This window comes from Homo sapiens, chromosome 2 (genome assembly GCF_000001405.40).
Source record: "Homo sapiens chromosome 2, GRCh38.p14 Primary Assembly".
Taxonomy (NCBI): domain Eukaryota; kingdom Metazoa; phylum Chordata; class Mammalia; order Primates; family Hominidae; genus Homo; species Homo sapiens.
Genome location: NC_000002.12, coordinates 42,809,163 through 42,834,829, shown reverse-complemented (window position 1 = coordinate 42,834,829; position 25,667 = coordinate 42,809,163). Strand labels below are relative to the sequence as shown.

The following is a 25,667-nucleotide window of genomic DNA, read 5'->3' as shown; positions in this document are numbered from 1 at the left end:
CGCATCTCAAAAAAACAAACAAACCAACAAACAAAAAAATTGTAACTCATGTTCATGTGCATTTTCAATATTCTCATTTTGAAGGTGAATTTGTCGAGGTTGAAGGATACAACATATTTTATTTAAGTTTGTCAGCTTGATTTATAACTTTAACTCTCCATATATACAGCCTGTGGGCCTCCACTTAGACTCCTCTTTAGGGGTGGATGTCAGTAGAACTAATAAATGAGTGTCTGACCAAGACAAGGGCTGGAAGAACTGCAGCAGCCAGAAGAGAAGATGGGGACTTATCAGGGCCAGAAGGAACACCTGGGCAAGCACATGGGCGAAGCGCAGAGGAGCAGGGCTGGGGCAGGGTGCTGAGAGGCCCACCCATCATCTGCGGAGCAGCTACTCTAGCTTCTCCCTGTGCTCCCCTAAGCCTGGCCTCAGGTCAAAGCCCACATGCAGCCCAGTGTCCACTCACCCAGAGGCCATCGTAAGCCATCAAGGTGACCGCCCCCCCGGGCTGCAAGCTTTGGCTGCACCTCCTTGCCCTCCCCTTTGTGCACAGACCTGTCCCCCAGGCCCCAGGAAGCCCGGAGGACTTCCCAGGTGGGCCCAGCTCAAAGCCTCCAGCTAGGGACACCTGGCCCTGGGATTAAGGTGAGGAACAACAACTAGAATTGGAAACGCGCAAAGAAGTTAAGATGAACCATCCACAGGCACTGGGCACAGTGGCTCACACCAGTAACCCCAATACTTTAGGGAGCCGAGATAAGGGGATTACTTGAGCCTGAGAGTTCAAGACCAGCCTGGGCAACATAGTGAGACCCCCCGTCTCTATTTAAAAAAAAACAATTTTTTTTTTGAGAGAGTCTCACTCTGTCACCCAGGCTGGAGTGCAGTGGCACAATCTCCGCTCCCTGCAACCTCCGCCTCCACGTTCAAGCGATTCTCCTGCCTCAGCCTCCTAAATAGCTGGTATTACAGGCATGCACAATCACACCTGGCTAATTTTTGTATTTTTAGTAGAGTGGGGGTTTCACCATGTTGGTCAGGCTAGTCTCGAACTCCTGACTTTGTGATCCGCCCACCTCAGCCTCCCAAAGTGCTGGGATTACAGGCGTGAGCCACCATGCCCCACCAAAAAAAATTTTTTAAGCCTGTTGAGGTGGTGCGCATCTGTGGTTCCAGCTACTCGAGAGGTTGAGGCAGGAAGATGGCTTGAGCCCAGAAGATCCAGGCTGCAGTGACCAGTGATTATGCCACTGTAGTCCAGCCTGGGCGACAGAGCAAGACCTTTTCTCAAAATAATAATAATAAAAATAATAATAATAATTAAAATTTTAAAAATCCACCCACAGGCAATATCCAGCACTCACAGAAGACAAGCAGGTGGGGAAACGACCAGGGATCCTGAAACCCTCAGACAAGGCCAAAACTTGATTTAGCCACTAGAGGTAAAGACAGAACTGGCCTCCTCCCCAAGTCCCTCAAAAAAGTGGGGGCTATAAACCTAACACCTGGACAGGTGCAGAATCAGAGCTGTTTGGAAGCCCACTCACCAAGAAAATACACTATCACATTTGACCAGTTAATCTGAATGCTAGGAGTTTCTGCAAGGCTCAGACAGAGCCTCTGGCTCCGCACGTGTGTGCAAGGATCCCACGTCAGTTTTGTGACCATGGAAGTGCATCTACTTGTAGGTGGGAGATTTCTTTTTGCCTGGGTGAAGGTCTATGACTGAGACTGTGTGGAAGACAGTGGGTGTCTGTGAGCAGAATTGCCACTGGTTACATGTGCAGGCTCTGAGGCCGGACTACCTGGCCTTGAATCCCAAGTCTACCAATTACTGGCTTTGTGAGCTTGAGTTGACCTCTATGTGACTCAATTGACCTCTATGTGGGAGTAAATAACTATACCTGTCTCATGCAGTTGTTGCAAGGATGAAATTACATAATCCTTTCTATAGTGTTAGAACAATGCCTATGATATAGTAAATTACCAATAGGTGTTAGTTATAATTATGATGTGTGACTGTGTATATCCGCATCTGCAAATGTAAATTCAAGTGTATCTAGTAAAGGTATAGGGGTGTCTTTATGTCTTTGTTTATGAAGATATACTCATCTAAGTGTCTGTGTCTATGTTTCTGTGTGTCCAATGATAAGAACAACTGGCATCTATTGAGTGCCTTCTGTGTCAGGCATTAAGTTCTACAGGTATTCACATGGAAACATACACATACGTGGATGTAAATGGCAAGTACACATCCAGCCTGATTTACGATATCATAGGCATTGTTCTAACACTATAAATAGGATTAAGTTTGGGAGGCCGAGGTGGACATGTTTCTGGGGGGTCCTTGCTCCCAGAGCTCCCAAGATGGTGGCAGGTGGCTTCCAAAATGGCAGCCGGCTGCTTCCAAGATGGTGGCAAGCCTAATGTTCTCTGACCTGGGGTTCTTGGCCTCACGGATCCCAAGGAATGGAATCTTGGGCCATGAGGTGAGTGTTAAAGCTCTATTAGAAGCCATGGGTTATGGAAGAGAACCGTGGAAACCAGTGACTAGTGTTCAGCTCGATCAGGATGAACCCGGGCACTTAGCCATGAAGGAACAATGGCAAGCCTTTAGCCCCATCGGGAGTGGCAATGGGTGCCTCGCTGGATCAGGAGCACAGCGGACACCCTGTGTCTGGAGGGATGGAAGTCAGCGGCGGGTCTGCCATGGCGGCAAACAGCAGTGGTGGACGGCGAGCGAAAGCTCAGCTCCAGCCGTAACAAACACAGACCAGAAGAGAGTGCTGTTGCAAGATTTAATAGAGTGAAAACAGAGCTCCCATACAAAGGGAGGGGACCCAAAGAGGGTAGATGTTGACGGCTCGCATGCCTGGGTTTACATCCCGATCACTGTCCCTCCTGCTGTGCTCTCAGGAGACAGATGATTGGCTATTTCTTTACCTCTTGTTTTTGCCTAATTAGCTTTTTAGTGAGTTATCTTTACTACCTGATTGGTCAGTGTGAGCTAAGTTGCAAGCCCCGCGTTTAAAAGTGGACGCGGTCACCTTCCCAGCTAGGCTTAGGGAGTCTTAGTCGGCCTAGGAAATCCAGCTAGTCCTGTCTCTCAGACGGATCACTTGAGGTCAGGAGTTCGAGACCAGCCTGGCCAACACGGCGAAACCCTGTCTCTACTAAAAATACAAAAATTAGCCGGGCATGGTGGCAGGCATCTATAATCCTCGCTACTTGGGAAGCTAAGGCAGGAGAATTGCTTGAACCAGGGAGGCGGAGGTTGCAGTGAGCTGAGATCGTGCCACTGCACTCCAGCCTGGGTGACAGAGCCTGACTTCGTCTCAAAAAGAAAGGATTAAGTAATTTCATCCTTGCAACAACTACATGAGGTAGCTATGGTTATTTACCCCACCCCACCCCCACATCCAGCCACATGTGCCAGTGAGTACCTGTAAGTGTGGCCATCTGCCTCAGCCCTGCCCAGTAAGACCCCCTTCCTGAGGGAGTCACGTGAGGGAAAGCAGTGAATGAAACCCACCACCAGCCCCTTCCCCAGGTTCCCTATTGGCTTGAATTGCCCATGTCACATTTCCTCCAGTAGGAAAGGACAAATGAGGAGCCTGGACAAGAGCCCACCAATCACAGCCTTCCTTTCATCCTATGAATTGGTCTTGCCTTGGCCCCAGGCTAAGAGCCTCCTTTTGAGAGTCCTTGAGCTCTGCAGGGGTTCCAACTGGGCCACGCCATCTTTACATAGGGGTGTGATTTTTTTTTTCTTTTTTCTTTTTTTTTTGCTGAGTGGCATCTACTTCTGACTCATGGCGTATCCTCCCTGGAAGGACAGATCCTAACACCAGCAAGATAGTGAATTCTCCTTGTGGATAAACCCCCCATGTTTTATGTGTTATGTCTCCTCTGGTTGCATTCGCCAATGTTGGTAACATTTGAAGCTTAAAAGGATGATATTTGAAAAATTTTGGGCCAGGCACAATGGCTCACGCCTGTAATCCCCATACTTTGGGAAGCTGAGGCAAGGGGATTGCTTGAGCTCAGGAGTTCAAGACCAGCCTGGGCAGCACAGCAAGACCCCATCTATTGAAAAAAAAATAGAAAAATTAGCCAGGTGTGGTGGCACACACCCCTAGTCCCAGCTACCTAGAGGCTGAGGTAGGAGGAGCACTTGAGTCCACGTGTTCAAGATTACAGTGAGCTATGATCGCACGACTGTACTCCAGCCTGAGCAATAGAATGATATCCTATCTCTTAAAAAATAATAATAATAATTCTGTTGCCCGGGTTGGAGTGCAGTGCTTTTCTCTTTTGCCTTGATGGGTACATGATCTTCATCTTCATTGGCCTGAGGCATGCATCTCTGCTTAAAGAGAGACCAGGATTAATGTTTGATATAGACAGAATGCACAGAAGAAAAAATGTGGTAATGTTTGGTATTTGACATGCAAAATAGGATTATGCTGCAGATCAAAAGTCTTCTAAAGCAGGCTATTCTTTTGAGAGCATGTTTCCTGGATTCCCTCATCCCTCTCCTTGGGTGTGGCCCTGGAATTTTATGTAATGGATGACTGAGCAAGAAGAGGAAGAGTGTTGGTCCCCTCCTTCCTGCCCAGGGGATGGTACGAAGGGGATTAGAAGGATAACAAGCAGAGCCAAGCACTGGCCCACTCACCCCTCCCTGAGAGAAAGAAGCCCTTGTCCCCAACTCACATTGGAACTCTGGGAAGAAGTGGCATCCCAGGCAGCTGCAAACCAACTCGGCCTCTGCCTCCAGCACCAGGGCTCCCCGGTAAGGGAGAGGCACCACTAAAGTTCAGCTTTCAAAGCCAACTTCCATTCCTGTGAGCCAGCAGCCCTACTGGGGCCATGGTGGCACAGCTAGGAGACTTGGTGGGGAGGAGGGGCCCAGGTGCAGGAGGGCTGGCCAGCCAGGGGCGCCACATGGGCTCTAGTCAGATCAGGAGGGACTGGACCATGAGTTTCATAAACTCAGCTTCTAGTATGATCAGTGGCCAGGAGGGACAGGGGACCTTGCTGGGTCTAGAGGACACCACACCCCAGGATCCCAACTCATGCCTCCTACCAGATGCCACACAAGCTGCCCTTGACTGTCTACAAAACCCCAACAGCACCACAGTGGGAGAAGCTGGGCAAAGCAGTCTGAGAACTAAGCATTTTATCCAAGAGAAATTAATAAGATCACTTAACAAGACCGGCTAAACTCTCTGGCCCCAGGATGTTCAAATCAAGTTGAAAATTTCATTGTTTTTCTCGCTTATCATCAGGCAGGGGTTGGAAGAAAGGCCAGATTCATTATAGACTCATAAATAAGGAAATTACCTTTTTTTTGCACAAATAAATTATAGAGTGAATTAAGTTTTCAACTCTGTTGCACACACAAAAATAGAGGAATTCCTGCTGCCCCACTGCAATGCTGGCTGACTTTTCCAACCAAAGACAAGGACCCAAGCCTTCTGGATCCCCAGTTCCCTCCTCCAGGTGGTGGGGGACACCGTTGTGGCAGAGAGAGGTAAGGTCCCCCTTCAGCCTAAGTGGTCACATTAGCCCTCTTGGGCTCATGCACCAGATCCTGCTCTCCTGGCTTATCTGTGTTTCTTTGAGGGGAGGAATGAGATTTTCATTTTCTTTCCAGGCCCTTCCCATTCAGGGCATTTCAGATCCCTCCTTCCCATGACCCCTGAAATGAATTGGGTGAAGAATGGTCCCCTGCCCTACACGCTGCATGTCTGGGAGAGGCCAGAGGTGGAGCCGGCACATGCAAAGGCAATGCTGCCACCTGCTGGCGCCACGAAGAGACACAGCAAAGGTGGGCAACCAAACCCCATTAGCCCTGGGGGAACTGCACAAGGATGTCTTGCAGCTGAATGGTACCTTTTTCCAATGCAGCTTCTTACCTGTTCCCTCATTTAGTCATCCAGTATGCCGGCTGGAACAAGAACATCATCCCATTTTATGGACGAGACAACTGACACCCATGAAAGGGCAGAATGCTGACTGAGGTCACATGTGTGGGGATGGCTTGAAGGCAATGCTCAGTCTCCTGCTTCCCAGCCAAGAGTTGTGTCCCCTCGTCAGTGCTCAGATGAGGTGTCTCAGAAAACGAGGGACCCCTATGAACAAGGTTTACGGGGCCATCCTCAACATCCAGGGAGGAAGAGTGAGGGCGGAGGGCACCAAGCAGTAATGCCCACCCTGCAGCTGGCTCAGGGCCTGATACACGTGTACAGCAACTCTGTTTCCCAAGGGTTCACACACCTTCCACACAGATTTTGTGGGTTTTTTTGTAGAGAAGGGGGTTTGTCCTGTTGCCCAGGCTGGTCTCGAACCCCTGGGCACAAGTGTGATGTTACTTTTCGATAAAGATCTGGAAGAGCTGACTCCTGCCCTAGGCCCGTGAGTCCTAATCTAAAAAACAGACGGTGAAAGAGGCAAGAGTCATCTTCCCAAATGGCAGCTGCAGGCGAAGTAGGTGGGGGGAACTCGCAGACGATGTTGTGTGGTCAGCAGGTGTGAGATGACCGGGCTGCATCCTCTCCCGCTGGGTGCTCAGCACTCGACTCTCCTCTTTGTTCCTGGCTCTTCCAGCCCAGGTCTTCATTTGGCGGAAACAGCCTGGAGGACAGAAAAAGTGCCTCTTCTCTGCCCGAGACCCTTCCCACGCGCACACGCCATGGGGAAGCAGCTCTTCCCTTTTCCCGACGTGGGAGATGACTGGGCCGGTGGGAAATCCCATGATTCCCCGGCAGCGGTCCATGTCCCTCCTGACAGCGGTCAGCGGTCAGCCTCACTTCCAGGACTCTGCATTGTCCCAAGCCTCCTCCTCTCCAGACCTTCTTCGCACCTCTCCCCGCGATTCTTGTCCTGGTAGGGTCCAGGAAACGCTGAAAGCTACGGATAGGCCCCCACGTTGCCCCGCAGGGTGCGGATGAAATCGCTGTCGGAGGCTGGTCCTGTGGCCGGCCCTGCCTGTCTCCTGGACCGAGAGGAGCCTTCTATGGCAGAGCCGCAGCGCCACCGTGTGGTAGAAGTCCGTCTGCACGGCCAGAAACGGCGGCTCAGAGCGGGCCCACAGAAATCCTTGTAATAGTCCACTGTCAAGGCCGGTGCTAGCGACACGGGAGTGGCAAATGCACCCTCTTGCCGTTCCCGGTGTTTGGGCCTTGCCTGTGACGGTGGGAAAAGAAAATGGCCTTGCTGTGCTACAACCGGGGCTGCGGTCAGCGCTTCGATCCTGAGATCAATTCCGATGATGCTTGCATATGCCACCCAGGTGTTCCAGTCTTTCACGATGCATTAAGGATTGGTCTTGATATAAGAGAAGAACAATTGATTTTTCTGATTTCTTAAGCATTGTAGGCTGTACAAAAGGTAGACATAATAGTGAGAAGCCACATGAGCCAGTCAAACCTGAAGTAAAGACTACTGAGAAGAAAGAACTATCTGAATTGAAACCCAAATTTCAGGAACACATCATTCAAGCCCCGAAGCCAGTAGAAGCAATCAAAAGGCCAAGCCCAGATGCACCAATGACAAATTTGGAATTAAAAATATCTGCCTCACCTGATAAACTTAAACTGTCATCAGGGAATGAAGAAGATAAGAAAGAAGAAGAGGCCAAGCGTGGTGGCTCACGCCTGTAATCCCATCACTTTGGGAGGCCGAGGCGGGCGGATCACAAGGTCAGAAGATCAAGACCATCCTGGCCAACATGGTGAAACCCCGTCTCTATTAAAAATACAAAATATTAGCCGGGCGTGGTGGTGCACACCTGTAGTCCCAGCTACTTGGGAGGCTGAGGCATGGGAATTGCTTGAACCTGGGAGGCAGAGGTTGCAGTGAGCCAAGATTGCACCACTGCACTCCAGCCTGGCAACAGAGCAAGACTCCACCAGAAAAAAAAAAAAAAAACAAAAAGAGAGCAACAAGACTGATGAAATTAAGATTGGGACCTCATGTAAGAATGGAGGGTGTTCAAAGACATATCGGGGTCTAGAGAGTCTAGAAGAAGTCTGTGTGTATCATTCTGGAGTACCTATTTTCCATGAGGGGATGAAATACTGGAGCTGTTGTAGAAGAAAAACTTCTGATTTTAATACATTCTTAGCCCAAGAGGGCTGTTCAACAGGGAAACACATATGGGCTAAAAAGGATGCTGGGGAAAATGTTCCACGTAGAGAGGACTGGCATCAGACTGAAGGTGAAGTTACCATTTCAGTATATGCTAAAAATTCACTTCCAGAACTTAGCCGAGTAGAAGTAAATAGCACGTTGTTAAATGTGCACATTGGATTTGAAGGAGAGAAGGGATTTCATCAAAATGTGAAATTATGGGGTGTGACTGATGTAAAGTGAAGTTATGTAACTATGACTGCAACAAAGATTGAGATCACTATGAGAAAAGCTGAACCGATGCAGTGGGCAAGCCTTGAACTGCCTGCAGCCAAAAAGCAGGAAAAACAAAAAGACAACACAACAGATTGAGCGGGACATGGGAGGAAGGCTATTACGTATTTCAGAATTCTTAATACTGTGTGAAGTGGTGACTTGCTGCTGTCATCTTTTGTTTTGTTGTTGTGTTACTCAATCGGGCATTTCAGGGTTAACATTAGGTTCTTAAAAGCCAAAGTCAGTTTGTCTTTTTGTGCCTCTCACCTTTCTTTTGTGTTATGTAAGATTGATTATTCGTTTCTCCTTACTGGTAGGAACCATAGTTGTGTCCTGTACTTGAAGAAGCTAGAAAATCTCCCATAACCATAATTGCAGTATTTCTTCGTATTTCTCTGTTAAGCAGAGAAATATTAAGAACATGATATTTACTTCTTTCTATTATTCCATAATTAGTAAAGGAAGATGAAGTGTCCATTTTTAATCAGTTTTTACATGGATTTATGTTCTTACATTATTTGAAAATATTTAAGAAAGAGATGAAGCTCTGCAGTTTTTTCTATGTGGGATGATTACTTTTTTAAGGAAGATTAATTCTGAGGTAGTGTAGTAAGTAAAGAGGAATATATAAATTGTTTAACAAATTAGAATTTGTTTACAACTAATTGAATTTTTAAATTACGTCAAAACTTACATTACTTGCCAAGCAGTATGATGTAAGAGTATAGGAAACATAAAATAAGAATACAGAGGTATCAATTTGGTTAAAATTCACCATTTTAGGCTGGGCACGGTGGCTCACGCCTGTAATCCCAGCACTTTGGGAGGTCGAGGTGGGAGGATCACAAGGTCAGGAGTTCGAGACCAGCCTGGCCAATATGGTGAACCCTCGTCTCTACTAAAAATACAAAAAAATTAGCTGGGCATGGTGGCACATGCCTGTAATCCCAGCTACTTGGAAGGCTGAGGCAGGAGAATTGCTTGAATCTGGGAGGCAGAGGTTGCAGTGAGCCGAGATCACGCCACTGAACTCCAGCCTGGGTGACAGAGCAAGATTCTGTCTAAAAAAAAAAAAAAAAAATTCACCATTTTATAAGACTAAGCAATAATCTTAAAAATCTCTTTCCTGAATATTTAAATGTGTTTCTATGGTGTTATGACTAAACTGTTAATTATTTAGAGATTAAACCCTCTTAAAAACCTTTAATTAGTTACATATAGAAAGAAATTATAGGCCGGGCGCAGTGGCTCATGCCTGTAATCCCAGCACTTTGGGAGGCCAAGGAGGGCAGATCATGAGGTCAGGAGTTTGAGACCATCCTGACCAACATGGTGAAACGCCGTCTCTACTAAAAATATAAAAATTAGCCAGGCGTGGTGGCATGTGCCTGTAATTCCAGCTACTCGAGAGGCTGAGGCAGGAGAATTGCTTGAATCTGGGAGGAAGAGGTTGCAGTGAGCCGAGATCACGCCACTGCACTCCAGCCAGGGTGACAGATCGAGAATCCATCTCAAAAAAAAAAAAAAAAAAAGAAAGAAAGAAATTACATATATCTTGCCTCCCTGATGGAAAACTATATAAAATTGTAGACTTAAAAGGTTTGTGGAAATACATTAGGATATCAGAAAACTAAATATATGGACTTGTTTTATGACTATGACATGTTAAATAAAATAGTTTAATTCTTTTTTTAAAAAAATTAGTTCACTGTCTAGTCACTGGGGTGTTCCCTAGATCCCAGGAGAGAGCCCCATCCCCCTGGACTGAGGGACATCTGTCAAGATAAGGTCCCAGCCACATCTCTGCCCCCCGCCCCCAGCCTTAGCAAAACACCTAGAAAGGGCCAGGTTTCTGAGTCAGGTGGATTTTGTTGCTCCCATCTCCTCCGTTTTGCAGATGTCTGAGCTTGGGCAATTACAGAACCATTATCAAGCCTCAGTGTCTTGTCTCTAAAATGGGAGTCATGAAAGGCTTCTGAGGAATAAATTAGATAATAAAAAATGTAGAGTAGCAGACAGCTCATTGCAGGTGTCTAAGAAACAACGGTTTCCTTCCCCTTCTGTCTGGGCTTAGAGCCTGAGAAACCCAGACTGGCTCAAAGGCAAGGCCAGGAAGACAGCCAAAAACAAATGCCTAGGATGAGAAACGTTCCCCCTCAGCTCCTGCAGGAAACTATTCTTCACTACTTCATCAGCTACTCCTTGCCTCTCTGAACACCTTCCATTAGGGCAACAAACCAACCTGGTTTGCCAGGCATTGAGGAATGTTCTGAAAGTTGAGGCCTTCAGGACTAAAACTGGACAAAATGGTCACCCAGTCCTTGTGTTGCCTCAGTCTAGCTGCAGGACTTCATCAGTAGAGTTGATAGAATCTCTGGGGCCGTAGCCCAGGAACGTGCTTTGTAACAAGCTCCCCAGATGATTCTTATAAACATCAATGTCTGCGAGCCACGGCTCCAACACTCTCAGGCTGTGGTTTCTCATTGGCATGTAGTACGAGCGTTACTATTCAGCCAGTCAGGAGGCCACCTGAGGCAGGGCACGCACGTGCTTAGGGATGAGACCTTGGAAAGACTGAAAAGAACTCTCTAAACACCAGGCTTCAGCCCTGAATCTGCAAAGCACACCCGAAGCACCTGGACATATGCCCTCTTCTCTGCTTTAGAGTTTGTGCCCATGTGCTGCTTCTCCACCTTCTGCCATTCACTCATTAAATATTTGTTGAGTACCTACTAGCTTGGCACAGTAGGAACTGATATCCTAGTGATGCAAGATAAGCAATTAATGCTTGTATAAAAGTGTAATAAATTTAGATCATAGTAAATATAATAAGAAAGAGACAAACAGAATAATTTGATGGGGAGAGACTATGTTCAAAGGCATCTCTGAGAAGGTGATATTTGACTGAGTCCTGATGGTTGAGCAGCTAGCCATCCTAAGATGTGGGGGAAGCTGTTCCTGGGGAAGGAATGGCCATTGCAGAAGCCCCAAGGCAGAAACAAGAATTAGGAAGACAAGAGCAGGTGGAGCATAGCAAGCTGGGACAGAGCGACGGGAGCTGAGGCTGACAAGGTGGGCAGCAGCCAATGTGGACACGTGGGGGCCTTCTGGACCACTGTAGGCCTTTGCATTTTATTCTGCATGAAGTGGAAAACCATAGATGGTATTAAGCAAGGAAATGGCAGAGTCTGACTTGTGTCATTAAAGGTTAATTTGGGCTTCTGTATGGAGAAAGGATTGAAGAGGGACAAGAAGTGGAAGTTAGAAGCCAGTTAAGAGGCTCCTGCAATCGTCTAAGTGGGACATAACAGAAACTGCAGATGGGGAGAAGGGCAAGGATTCAGGAAACAGATTGGAGGAAGACACAGAGCTTGCTAATGGATTAGATGTAGGAGGAGTTAGAAGCGTACAACCAAAGCTGTCTGCCAAGTTTTTCAGGTAGAATCAGGTGAATGGATGAAAGGATCATTTTGTGGAATGGGAAGGACTAGGGGAAGAGCAGGTTTGGGAGAAGAAAAAAGCAAAAGTTGTGTTTTTGAATATGTTAACTTTGAGCTGCCTATGAGTCCTCCAAGTGGATATGGCAGGTGTGCTCATGGAGGGGCCAGGCTTTCTACAAAACCACAGGGAAGGACACCCTGACTTTATCCCTAGGCCAGTTTAACAGATTGAAAGATTACAATAATTTTTGGTTTAGCTTCTTCCTTCTAAAGAAAATTCTTATTAAGACATTTGAAAATTACCACAAAAAAATAAGAAGCAAGAAGCTAAATCATATCACCAGAGAAAATCACTTCACTAGAGGAAGATATGAATGAAAGAAAGAAGGAAGAGAAGACCACAAAACAACCAGAAAACAAATAACAAAATGGCAGAAAAAATTACCACAAAAAATAAAAAGCAAGAAACTAAACCACATCACCAGAGAAAATCACTTCACTAGAGGAGTATATGAATGAAAGAAAGAAGAAAGAGAAGACCACAAAACAACAAGAAAACAAATAACAAAATGGCAGAGGCAGGTCCTTATTTATCAAGAATAACATTGAATGTAAATAAACAAACTCTCCAGTCAAAAGACACAGACTGGCTGAATGGGTTAAAAAAAAAAAAAAACAAGACCCATTGATCTGTTGCCTACAAGAAACACGCTTCACCTGTAAAGACACATGTAGAATGAAAATAAAGGGATGGAAAAAGGTATTTACGCCAATGGAAACAAAAAAAGAGCAAGAGTCACTATAGTTATATCAGACAAAATAGATGTCAAGGCAAAAACTATAAGAAGAGGCAAAGAAGGTCATTATATAATGACAAAGGAGTCAATTCAGCAAAAAGATATAACAATTTTAAATATATAATGTATCCAACACTGGGGCACCCAGATATATACAGGAAATATTATTAGAGCTAAAAAGAGAGATAGGCCCCAATACAATAATAGCTGGAGACTTCAATACACAACTTTCAGCATTAAACAGATCTTCCATACAAAAACTCAACAAAGAAACATCAACTTTATCTGCACTATAGACCTAATGGCTCTAATAGATATTTACAGCACATTTCATCCAAGAGCCGCGGAATACACATTATCTTCCTTGGCACATGGATCATTATCAAGGATAGACTATATGCTAAGTCACAAAACAAGTCTTAAAACATTAAAAATATTGAAATAACATCAAGCATCTTCTCTGACCACAATGGAATAAAACTAGAAATTAATAACAAGAGGAATTTTGGAAACTATACAAATACATGGAAATTAAACAATATGCTCCTGAATGACCAGTGGGTCAATGAAGAAATTAAGAAGAAAATTGAAAAACTTCTTGAAACAAATGATAATGGAAACAGTATATCAAAGCCTATGGGATACAGCAAAAGTAGTACTAGCAGGGAAGTTTATAGCTGTAAGTGCCCACATCAAAAAAAAGGAAAAAATTCAAATAAACAATCTAACAATGCATCTTAAAGAACCAGGAAAGCAAGAGTAAACAAACCAAAAATTAATACATAGAAAGAAATAAGATCAGAGCAGAAATAAAATTGAAATTTTAAAAATACAAAAGATCAATGAAACAGAAAGTTTGTTTTTTGAAAAGTTAAACAAAATTGACAAACCTTTAGCCAGACTAAGTAAGAAAAAAAAGAGAGCAAGTTCAAATAAATAAAATCAGAAATTAAAAAGAGACATTACAATTGATATCACAAAAATTCAAAGGGTCATTAGCGGCTACTACGAGCAACTATATGCCAATAAATTGGAAAATCTAGAAGAAATAGACAAATTCCTAGATACATACAACCTACAAAGAGTGAACCAGGAAGAAATCTGAGACCTGAACAGACCAATAACAACCAACAAGATTGAAGCCATAATAAAAAGTCTCCCAGAAAAGAAAAACACAGGACTTGATGGCTTCACTGCTGAATTCTAACAAATATTTAAAAGACTAATACCAATCCTACCCAAAATATTCCAAAAAACAGAGGAGGAGGGAATACTTCCAAACTCATTCTATGAGGCAAGTATTACCCTGATACCAAACCCAGACAAAGACACATCAAAAAGAGAAAACTACAGGCCAGTATCTCTGATGAATATTGATGCAAAAATCCTCAACAAAATACTAGCAGACCGAATTCAACAATACATTAGAAAGATAATTCATGGCGACCAGTGGGATTTATCCCTGGGAAGCAAGGATGGTTCAACATACAAAAATCAATCAATGTGATACATCATATCAACAGAAGGAAAGATAAAAACCATATGATTATTTCAACTGATGCTGAGAAAGCATTTGATAAAATTCAACATCCTTTCATAATAAAAACCCTCAAAAAACTGGGGATAGAATGAACACACCTCAACATAATAAAAGCCATGTATGACAGACACATGGCTAGTATCACACTGAATGGGGGAAACCTGAAAGTCTTTTCTCTAAGATCTGGAACACAGCAAGGATGCCCACTATCACCACCGTTATTCAACTTATTACTGGAAGTCCTAGCTAGAGCAATCAGGCAAAAGAAAGAAATAAAGGGCATCCAAAATGGAAAGGAAGAAGTCAAATTATCCTTGTTTGCAGATGATATGATCTTACATTTAGGAAAACCTAAAGACTCCACAAGAAAACTATTAGAACTGATTAAAAAAATTCAGTAAAGTTGCAGAATACAAAATCAACATACAAAATTCAGTAGCATTTCTGTATGCCAACAGTGAACAATGTGAAAAAGAAATTTTTAAAGTAATCCCATTTACAATAGCCACACATAAAATTAAATACCTAGGAATTAACCAAAGGAGTGAAAGCTCTCTATAATGAAAACTATAAAAAACTAATGAAAGAAATTGAAGAGGACACTAAAAAATGGAAAAATATTCCACGTTCCTGGATTGGAAGGATTAATATTGTTAAATGTCCATACTACCCAAAGCAACCTCCCAGCCAATGCAAGACTCTCTTCTCCAATATCCCAGCTTCTGCTCCATCACTTTTTTCTTGATAGAGACGGGGTCTCACTATGTTGCCCAGGCTGGTCTTGAGCTCCTGGGCTGAAGTGATCCTTCAACTTCAGCCTCCCAAAGTGCTGGTACCACAGGCATCAGCCTCAGTCACTCAGCCTCAATCACTTTTAAATCTGGGAAATGCATTCCATCAGTCAACCCATCCCATTTCTCAACAGTGCTAATCACTTTAAAAATAAGTTTGCCTCCTTGTGGTCATCACCCACAGGCTCTAGTTCTAAGCTCATGTTCTTTTCTCTAGGGCAACACTGTCTACGACCATTTCTTCTTTCACAAATATTTGAAAGCAGCTCAGAAATCCATCCTCAGTCCTTTCTTCTCCAGGATCCATGTTCCTTGGAGTTTCAACCACAGTCACCATGGATGACCTATTGTTAGAAGAAATGGAGAGGCATCTAGTCCCCTAGATCACTAAGGTCAGAAGCTGTCGTGCCAAAGACTTTGTGGGGAAAGACTGAGAACCAAAATAAGGAAGCAAAGCTCCTTACCCCACCAGGCTTTCCCAGAGCTTAGCCTCTACACCAACTGCCGGCCTGTACCCCCAGGGTGGGGCACTCAACCAGCAGGGAGAATACAGGCAATTAAAGGTAATTCAGTTTTACAGTTCAAGTTAAAAGGAAGAAGAAAATAGATAAGATAAGATAAGATAAAAATAAATGTAGAGAAAAAATGAAGATTAAAAGGAAATGAGTGAAAAGACCTTAGTCTTAGACAGAGGGAAGGGCAGAATGAAACTTTCAAAGGGAAAGAATATACGCATTAACAAAAGAGTTTTTATCAGCACCATAGGAAAGGTAAAACTAAAATCTCAAAAAAATAAAAATAAATTGTAAAAAGAGGTTTTTGTTATTGTTTTGTTTTGAGAGTCTCACTCTGTCACCCACACTGGAGTGCAGTGGTGCACCTCCCAAGTGGCTGGGATTACAGGCGCCCACCACCATGCTCAGCTAATTTTTTTGTATTTTTAGTAGAGATGGGGTTTCACCATGTTGGCCAGGCTGGTCTCAAACTTCTGACCTCAAATGATCCACCCCCATCAGCCTCCCAAAGGGGCATAAGCCACCACACCCAGCCAAAAGCTAATTCTTTGAGAAGATAAATGAAAGTAAAAAACCCCTAACCAAACTGATTTTTTTAAAAAGAGAGAGTGAGAGAGAAAAGACACAAATTACCCATATCAGGAATTAGAGAAGGAACATCACTACAGATCTTACAGATAATTTAGAAAGATAAGGAGGGACTATTGTGAAAATTTTATGCCAATAAATTTAACAAATCAAATGAAATAGATTTTTGGAAAGACACAAAGTACTGAAGTATACTCAAGAATAAATAGATAACCTCAATAACTTTACACATTTTAAACACTTGAACTTATAGGATTTTAAAAACATAAAACCTTCTCACAAGGAAAACTGCAGGCCCACAGAGCTTCACTGTGAATTCACAAAATATTTAATAAAGAAATAGGGCCAGGCACAGTGGCTCACACCTGTAATCCCAGCACTTTGGGAGGCCAAGGAGGGAGGATCATTTGAGCCCAGGAGTTCAAGAACAGCCTGGGCAACATGGCAAAACCCTACCTCTGCAAAAATTACAAAAAAATAACCAGGCGTGGTGGCACGTGCCTGTAGTCCCAGCTACTTGGAAGGCTGACACGGGAGGATCACTTGAGCTCAGGAGGTTGAGGCTGCAGTGAACCATAATTGCACCACTGCACTACAGCCTGGACAACAGAGTGAGACCCTGTCTCAAAAAAAAAAAAAAAACTACAAAACATTGCTTAAAGAAATTGAAGGCCTAAATAAATTGAGAGGTATGCTGTGTTTATGGAATCAGAAGACACACTTTTAAGAAGGTAATTCTCAAATTGTTGAATGTATTGACCAATACATTGAACACATACATTTACATTTTTTGAGACCCTGTCTCAAAAAAAAAAAAAAACTATGAAACATTGCTTAAAGAAATGGAAGGCCTAAATAAATGGAGAGATATACTATGTTTATGGAATCAGAAGACTTTTTTTTTTTTTTTTTTTGGAGACACAGTCTCACTCTATCTCCCAGGCTGGAGTGCAGTGGTGTGATTTCAGCTCACTGCAACCTCTGCTGCCTCCCTGGTTCAAGCGATTCTCATGCTTCAGCCTTCCAAGTAGCTGGGATTATAAGCATCCACCACCACACTCAGCTAATGTTTGTATTTTTAGTAGAGATGGGGTTTCACCATGTTGCCAGGCTGGTCTCGAACTCCTGACCTCAGGTGATCTGCAGAAGACATATTTTGAAGAAGATAATTCTCCTCAAATTGTTGAACGTCTTGATCAATACATTTAACAGAATTTCTATCAAAATCCAAGCAGAACTTTTCATAGAAATTGGTAAACTGAACCTAAAATTTATATGAAAATGTAAAGGACCTGCAATGGCCAAAAGCATTTTGAAAGAGAAGAACAAAATTGGAGAACTTATAATACCTGGTTTCCAAACTTACTCTAAATCTACAGTAATCACCACAGTGTAGTGTTGGCATAACACCATACTGACAGGTCAATAGAATAGAACGATAGTACAGCAATAGAGCAACACATTTATGGACAGCTTGTTTTTGATAAGATGCCAAGGCAATTTGATCAGGAAAGAATAAGCTTTTCAACAAATGGTGCCATAATTTAGATACTCACATACCCCAACCCCCCTCAAAATGAGACCTTTACCTCACACCATACACAAAAATTAAGTCAACTCAAAATGGAGCATAAACCTAAATATAAGAACTAAATCATGGACTAAAATCTTGGTGACCTTGAGTTAAACAAAGGTTATTTAGATATAGCACCAAAAGTACAATCAATAATGGGTAAAGAAATCAATGAATTGAACTTCATCAAAATGTTAAGATTTTGCTCGTTAACAGATATTAGAAAATGAAAACCCAAGCCACAAACTGGAAGTAATTACAAATTATATATCCACAGGCCAAACACAGTGGTGCATGCCTGAAATCCCAGCACTTTGGGTGGCCGAGGTGGATGGATCACCTGAGGTCAGGAGTTCAAGACCAGTCTGGCCAACATGGTGAACCTTGTCTCTACTAAAAATACAAAAATTAGCTGGCCATGATGGTGTGCACCTGTAGTCCCAGCTACTTGGGGGGCTGAGGCAGGAGAATCGGTTTAACCTGGGAGGCGGAGATTGCAGTGAGCTGAGATTGCACCACTGCACTCCAGCCTGGGTGACAGAGCAAGACTCTGTCTCAAAAAATATACGTATTATATATCCAACAAGGGAACTACATCTAGATTATACAGAAAATCTCTACAACCCAATAATGAAAAGAGAAACAACTCAATAAAAAGCAGACAGAAGACCGGAGTGGTGGCTTGCACCTGTGGTCCCAGCTACTGGGGAGGCTGAGGCAGGAGGATTGCTTGAATCCAGGAGTTTGAGGCTGTGATATCATGCCACTGCACTCTAGGCTGGGGGGCAAAACAAGACCCCATCTCAAAAACAAAAAACAAAAAAATACTTCACCAAAGAGGATATATTAATGTCTAATAAGCATATGAAAAGCTACTCAACATTATTAATGCAATTCATTGTACATAAACTATAACTCAGAAAAGCTTTAAAATTTAAAACTTATTGGTTATCTTTAGAAATTATTAGGGAATCAAAGATTGGTGGAAAAAGAGAAAGAATCAAGAAATTATCCAGTCTTTCTTATGTGAATTGTGCTTCCATAGTCATAAATACAGAAGGAATAATAGAATTAGAAAAGCACCATTGGGGAATCCTCAATAAAAATAATAGATTTAGACCAAGATAATCAACGGCTGCTAAAACATTAGGTTAGAGGCTGGTGAAGGACTTTATAATGGATGGATTCAGCCAACCACGCTGATGAAGGATTAGAGGCTGATGAAGGATTTTATAATGGATGGATTCTGCTGACCATGCTGAAATCATCAATCAAAAGCCATATTTCTAAATGTGGGACAGCCAGACATTATGTACTTTCTTTTGTGGTGCAATAGCACACAGTACCATCTAGAATATATTTTGGGGGAAAAATAATCTGAATATTATAAAGCTTCTAGATATAATTGCCATGAGGGATTGAAGAACATGGGGCTGAAGAAAACCTTGAGCATGCAATTAGCCAAAATCTGTGGGAAATTCTAAAGGTCAACAAAGAAATGTCATAAAAGGGGGTGAAAAGAGAGGAAATTCGAATAGATTAAAAGAGATTTATCCTTTAAATATCTTAAAGGATACACCAATCAAATGCCAAGGACAGCCCATATTTGGATCTTGATTCAAACAAACCAATCTTCTGTAAAAATATTTTTCAGAGATATGGGTAGCAATTTGAAAGCAGATGAGGTATGAGATGAAGCTAAGTAATTATTATTACTCTTGTTGGGTGTAATAATGATACCATGGTTATGCTTTTTTAAAAAAGTGATTACCTGTTGGGTATATATGCTGAAGTTTTGACAGGTTAAATTAAACCATATCTAGGATTTCCTCTAAAATATTCCAGAGGTAAGGGGTGAATGTTGTGGGAAGGATATAGATAAAACAATGTTGACAATTCTTTAAAAGTGGAAACATGGGGGTTAACTATACTGTTCTCTCTACTTTTGTGTATGTTTGAAATTTTCCATAATAAAGAATTGGGCTTTGGTTTCGTTTTGTTGAATTTTAAATGAGCTTGTTTCTACAGATCACAGCCCTCTGGCTGTGTTCTGACCTACTGAGAGTTCAACAGGATTCCCTCCCTTTACCCATATGGAGGCCACACACTCAATATCTGTAGGGTACAAATGACTGAAATGAGCCTGGGATAAAGAAAACAGCAAAGCAAGCCAGTGAATCAAGGCAGCTGGCACCTACCTCTGTGTTGGAGAATAATGGAGAGTGACAGGGACCGTGGCAAACCGAAAGCCACATACACATCCAAGATGGGCAGTCAGTCTTGCCATATAGGAATAAGGGCCCCAGATGGCCCGGCTTTTTTTTTTTTAGACAAGGTCTCACTCTGTCTCCCAGGCTGGAATACAGTGGTGTGATCTTGGCTCACTGCAACCTCCGCCTCTCAGGTTCAAGAGATTCTCCTGCCTCAGCCCCCCGAGTAGCTGGGACTACAGGCATGGCGAATTTTTGTATTTTTAGTAGAGGTGGGATTTCGCCATGTTGGCCAGGCTGGTCTTGAACTCCTGACCTCAGGTGATCCACCCGCCTCAGCCTCCCAAAGTGCTGGGATTACAGGCGTGAGGCACCACACCCAGTCCTGACTTTTCATTAGAAACTGAAAATCTCGGCATTTCTGTGAAATCTCCCAATATGGAGGCAAATGATTTTTTTTTTTTAATGTCAGCACTTTGCAAGTTAGTGCTGGAAGGCCAAACAAAATCTGTCTGCAGGCTAGATTTGTTCCATAGATGGCTGGTTTGTGATCCCTGACACCACAGCATCTAATGCATTATATAGTAATGCATTAATAATCAGTTGACATTCTTAGCAGTTGGGTCACACTGCTGGCACAACCGAGGTTGCACACATCTGAAATCCCCAGATCTTTTACATGCAAACAGCTGTCAAGCCAGGCATCCTCACACATGGAACTTTGAACTGAACATAGACTTACAATTATCTCTATGAAAATTGCATCTTATCATTTGTCAGAAACATTTGCCTCCAGATTGGCTCCACTCTTCTTCTAAATTCTACTGAATCTGCACTCCTTTCAGGCTGTGTCACCCCTAGCTCTGATGAGCCCTTCTTCATCCAAGCATTCTACAAAGCCAAGGTCAGCCTGGGTTACATCAGGTTTCTCTCCTGCTGGGGCCTGGGGTTGTTCAGTTGTCACTTCAAGCTTCCTTCGCAGTTTGGTCACTTCATACTTACCCACTTCCTTCTTGAAGCCACTACACAGTATAGTCAGGCCTAAGCCAGTGGTCTGATGCTAATAAAAATGTCATAATACTTTGTGGTTTTTAAAGCATTTTCCCATATTCTGACTTGATTTTTTTTTTTTTAATTGAGACAGAGTCACTCAGGCTGGAGTGCAGTGGTGCAATCTCAGCTCACTGCTGCCTCGACCTCTTGGGCTCAGGTGAGCCTCCCACCTCAGCCTCCCAAGTAGCTGAGACTACAGGCGTGCCTCATCACACTGGGTTAATTTTTGTATTTTTTGTAGAGACAGGGTTTCACCATGTTGCCCAGGCTGGTCTGGAACTCCTGGGCTCAAACAATCCTTCTGCCTCAGCCTCCCAAAGTGTTGGAATTACGGTGTGAGCCACCATGCCCTGCCTCACTTGATTTTTATCACCCACCACAACCTTAAAAAATTCTATCAACATCACTTTAAGACACTGGGCCACAAATAGGCTCAGAGTATGTTTGTTGTTTATGGCCTAATCAATAATTTCGTAGCTGAAGATTTCTAAATTAAGGAAAGAAGAACTAGTTTAGCTTCCTTCCAACCCTACCATCTTATCAGGAAAACAGTTCCTAAAGCCACTGCCATTCCAGCAGTAACCAGTAGGGACAGAAACAATATTGAAGAATGTTCTAACCATAAGAGTTGTTGGAAAATGGAATAAGTTGCCTTGAGAGGAACTGAAATTCTGATGCTAGCAGTTTTCAAATAGGAGCTAGGGTTTTGTGGAAAGGATTTCTCTGTGGATAGGAGGTTGACAGAATGATCTCTCATTCATTTATTGTTGTCTGTTTGGGATCTTGCTTTGAGCTCAGCTCTCAGAAGTACCTAAGAGACTCCTGGTGGTCAGTGAGTTACCTGTGAAGATTAGAAACCTGCACTTTCTGAGTCTGATCACTTTTCTGTTTGTGCATTTTAAAATTAATCACCTCTTACAAAGCAGTTTTTGGCAAATTTCCTTTTGAAAATGCCAACCCTTTCTCCATTATTCAAAAATGGAAAGAATCCATACAATGGACTGTCATACAGTCATAAAAAGAAATGAAGCACTGATATATGGTACAATATGGATGAATATTGAAAACATTATAAAGTGAAAAAGCCAATTACAAAAGACCACATGCTGTATAATTCCATTCGTAGGAAAGTCCAGACTAGGGAAATCTACAGAGACAAAAAGTGGATTTGTGGTTGCTTAGGGCTGGTGGGGGAACAGGATGGGAAGATGAGAGGGTGAGAACTAGTCTTGAGGTGATGAAAATGTTTGAAAATTTACTGTGGTGATGATTGTACTTATCTGTGAATATACTAAAATCCATTGTACACTGTAAAATGGGCGAGTTGTATGGTATAGGAATTATATCCCATTAAAGCTGTTGGGTTTTTTGTTTTTTTTTTTATAGAAAGTAAGCATACTTTTTTTTTTTTTTTTTTTTTTTTTTTGAGACGGAGTCTCGCTGTGTCGCCCAGGCTGGAGTGCAGTGGCGCGATCTCGGCTCACTGCAATTTCCGCCTCCCAGGTTCAAGCAATTCTCCTGCCTCAGCCTCCCGAGTAGCTGGGATTACAGGCGCACGCCACCACAGCCGGCTAATTTTTTGTATTTTTAGTAGAGGCGGGGTTTCACAGTGCTAGCCAGGATGGTCTCCTGACCTCGTGATCCGCCCGCCTTGGCCTCCCAAAGTGCTGGGATTACAGGCGTGAGCCACCACGCTCAGCCGCAAGTTTTTTTTGTTTTGTTTTGTTTTGTTTTGTTTTTTTAGACAGGTCTGGCCCAGGCTGGAGCAGTGGTGCCATCTCAGCTCACTACAACCTCGGCCTCTCGAATCCAAGAGATCCTCTCACCTCAGCCTCCCGAGTAGCTGGGATTACAGGTATGCGCCACCACACCCGGCTAATTTTTGTATTTTTAGTAGATACGGGGTTTCGCCCTGATGGCCAGGCTGGTCTTAAACTCCTGGGTGATTAAAAAAAAAAAAAAATCCGCCGACCTTAGCCTCCCAAGCCGGGATTACAGGCGTGAGCCACCGCGCCTATTTTTTTATTATTATTATTATTCTTTTTTAATGGATAGAGATTTTATTTGTTTCTAAGCCTGGGCTGCATTTCTACAGGGGACCTATCCCATGCCTCTGAGGATGTCTGTGAGCCAGAGGCGACCTCCCCGGGGCTGGCGAGGAACCCGGCACCAGGACGAGGGGAAGTGGGCGGCCCTTCCCACATTCCAGTTGGCATAGGGTTCCTGTTCTGCATCGAGGGGCTGGATGGGTGAGAGCAACCGAAGCCTGGGCTAGCGCAGGAGATAGACAAGAGCTCCGCCCTCCATCCATTTCTCTGAACGTTCTAGGTCTTGATTTTCACCACTCGCGGGGTAATATTTCCACCCAAAATCTAGCAACGATCCCGTCCATGAAAACAGCTGAAAATCTCCCCTTTGAAAGAACACGTCCAGGAGGCTTTCCATCCCTTAACTAAGCTTGTGCCCGCTTTGCCTACCCCCCCTGGCGATGTGGGGCAGGGCGCATCCGCCGGCGACCACTTGGCCTGATTTCCCGGCCCCCGGGAGGACTTCTGAACCAGGATTTGTGACGTGCCGCTAGGAGAAGGGGCACATGATGGGGAGGGGAACTCTCCGAGCACATTCCCCAAACTGCAAATCTGCCCAGGGACGGCTGGGCGCCTGGGTTGAGGAGAAGGGCCCGCAGTCTTATTGGTCTCTGCAGACAGAAGCGAGGGGGAAGAACTCATCACGAGTTACAAGGGCGGAAAACAGCCGCCCCAGGTCTCCCCACAGCTCCCCGGACGCCCCGCGCTAGGCCTCGGGCCCCAACGCCTGGGAATGGTCGGCGGTGCTTGGGCCCCGCCCGGGGGCGAGGGGCAGCGGCCCGGCCCCAGGCCTCATCTCCGCACCGGGAGCTCGGGCTCACACTGTAGAATGAAGTGCCCTGTAGAATATTCGATCCCCACGGCCAGCTAGGGACCCCGCCACAGTGGAGCGCCTCGCCACCTCCATCCGCCCTCCTGTGGTCCGGGACTAGGTGCAGTTACAGGACCCGCCTAAGAAGAGCACTAGAAGGACGCAGTGGGTGGATGTCCGAGTTCGAGCGGCTGGATGTCGCGCGGTGGCAACAAGTAGCTCGGAAAAGGGGTATTGAGAGTCCACTGCGAGCTGCTTCCTGCTTGCGGCCAATGGGGACGTGCGGCAGAGCAGTTAGAAACAAGAAGGGAGAAGACTAAAGAGAGACTCCTTACTTCTGGCAACGAGATACACAAAAGGGGTTGCGAACATCCAAAAGGGTCTTGCTCCAGGTGAGGCTCGAACTCACAACCTCGGCATTGCTCTGCATGTACTGCTGTATAAGTACCGCGCGCTAACCGATTGCGCCACTGGAGCTCTGCTGAATGGGCCTCGTGATGGCTCTATCAGGGTGCGCTGGCGCCCGCGGCGGGCCTCGGCAGAGCATGCGCGTTCGCGGCGCGAGCCCAGGCCCGAGCCTTCTGCGACTTCGCGCCGAGCTCCCGGCTGTTCCGCAGCCGATCGAGCCGGGGAAGCCTGCGAGTGTCGCCCTCGGGGATGGAGGGGCCGCCTAGCCTGGCCGTGACGGGAGGGCCACGGGGGCCCTGCAAAGAGCGCAGCGCGCAGCCCCGGGCCTCGCCGTAGGAGGAGCGGCCCCAGCGCCTGCGGCCGGAAAACCCCCTCTATGGGCTTCGCGTCCCGGAGCCGGCCCGCGAGGGGCAGGGCCCAGGCCGGGGAAGCGGCAGGCGGGCCTCGCCGCGGTGGTGACGCGGTCCGGGGGTGGGGCTGGGGCTGGGGCTGGGGCTGAGCCGGGCGGCCTTGCTCCCGCGCCCCGGGGAGGCCCGATCCGACTGCCCGCGGGGCCCCCCGGAAGGAGAGCGTCCGGAGCCCCCCAGTGGCGGCTGGCGGGGGCGCCCCGGCCGGGCGAGGCCAGGGGCCGGTGGCGGCGCGCGGCTGTGGCTTGGCGCCTGGTCCGGCTCGCGAGGTTCCGGCAGCTCTTGGGCCCTCCAGGCAGGAGGCGGGGCCCCGAAACCCGGCCAGGCCACCCCAAGCGGAGGACGCGGAGATAGCCCCGGCTTTGGAGGAGTTGCAGCCCAAACCCTGCGTGTTTTGTTGGGCCACAAAATGTTTGATGTTAAAACTAATTTCCATTACTTAAAATCAGGCGATCTCATACAAATATCTAGATATCCATTTAAAAACAAAACAAAATCTAAACACTGCACCCAGGGCTGAATTATGACTGTTCTTGGCCGTAGGCACTTTTGTCTTCGTGAGCTCCTGTCCTCCATTTAAAAAAAAAAAGAAAAAGTTTTGGAAAATTATATTTTACCACTGTGATGATATAAAAATGAATGTATTTCAAGCTGAATTTATTGCTATATTCATATTACTATTTTTCATTTAATACTATATTCGTTTTCTTCTCATTTCAAAAGAAATTAACATTTAAATTTTTTCTGGTCTATGCACTGTGCCTGTTGTACCTAATTGATAAGCCTGCCAGGAAGCTGGTCCTCCAGGGAAGGTAGCAGCCACCTCCAGAGTGCCAGCCACCTCCCGAGTGCCCACCACCCCCGTCTCTTCCTTCAGGCTTGTCTCACACATCTTGATGGTCTCTGAGCACCTGTTGGCATGTTGGTCACCTGTTTGATGACGTCTGCTCTCCTGGGAGAGCCAGCCGAGCAAACAACAGAATGATTATGGCAATAATGGGGGAAACTGCATGAGCAAGCGATGGACAGAATGAA

General features: G+C 45.0%; 1 non-coding gene and 1 pseudogene across 1 annotated transcript, besides 4 other annotated features; one reads left to right on the top strand and one right to left on the bottom strand.

The window, feature by feature from the left end:
• CHORDC1P1 (CHORDC1 pseudogene 1) lies at nucleotides 7,125–10,102 on the top strand (annotated as a pseudogene).
• Nucleotides 23,351–23,430: an enhancer, noted in NCBI's record as "active region_15655". NCBI's record gives its function as "activates an Ori minimal core promoter by ATAC-STARR-seq in GM12878 lymphoblastoid cells {active_cell/tissue: GM12878}" and the evidence as "EXISTENCE:reporter gene assay evidence [ECO:0000049][PMID:35858748]".
• Nucleotides 23,461–23,560: an enhancer, noted in NCBI's record as "active region_15654". NCBI's record gives its function as "activates an Ori minimal core promoter by ATAC-STARR-seq in GM12878 lymphoblastoid cells {active_cell/tissue: GM12878}" and the evidence as "EXISTENCE:reporter gene assay evidence [ECO:0000049][PMID:35858748]".
• Nucleotides 23,641–23,930: a silencer, noted in NCBI's record as "silent region_11415". NCBI's record gives its function as "represses an Ori minimal core promoter by ATAC-STARR-seq in GM12878 lymphoblastoid cells {active_cell/tissue: GM12878}" and the evidence as "EXISTENCE:reporter gene assay evidence [ECO:0000049][PMID:35858748]".
• TRI-TAT2-1 (tRNA-Ile (anticodon TAT) 2-1) lies at nucleotides 24,202–24,294 on the bottom strand. Its single transcript is given in 2 exon segments — nucleotides 24,202–24,237; nucleotides 24,257–24,294. It is a non-coding gene; the product is annotated as a tRNA-Ile (tRNA).
• Nucleotides 24,221–24,990: a silencer, noted in NCBI's record as "silent region_11414". NCBI's record gives its function as "represses an Ori minimal core promoter by ATAC-STARR-seq in GM12878 lymphoblastoid cells {active_cell/tissue: GM12878}" and the evidence as "EXISTENCE:reporter gene assay evidence [ECO:0000049][PMID:35858748]".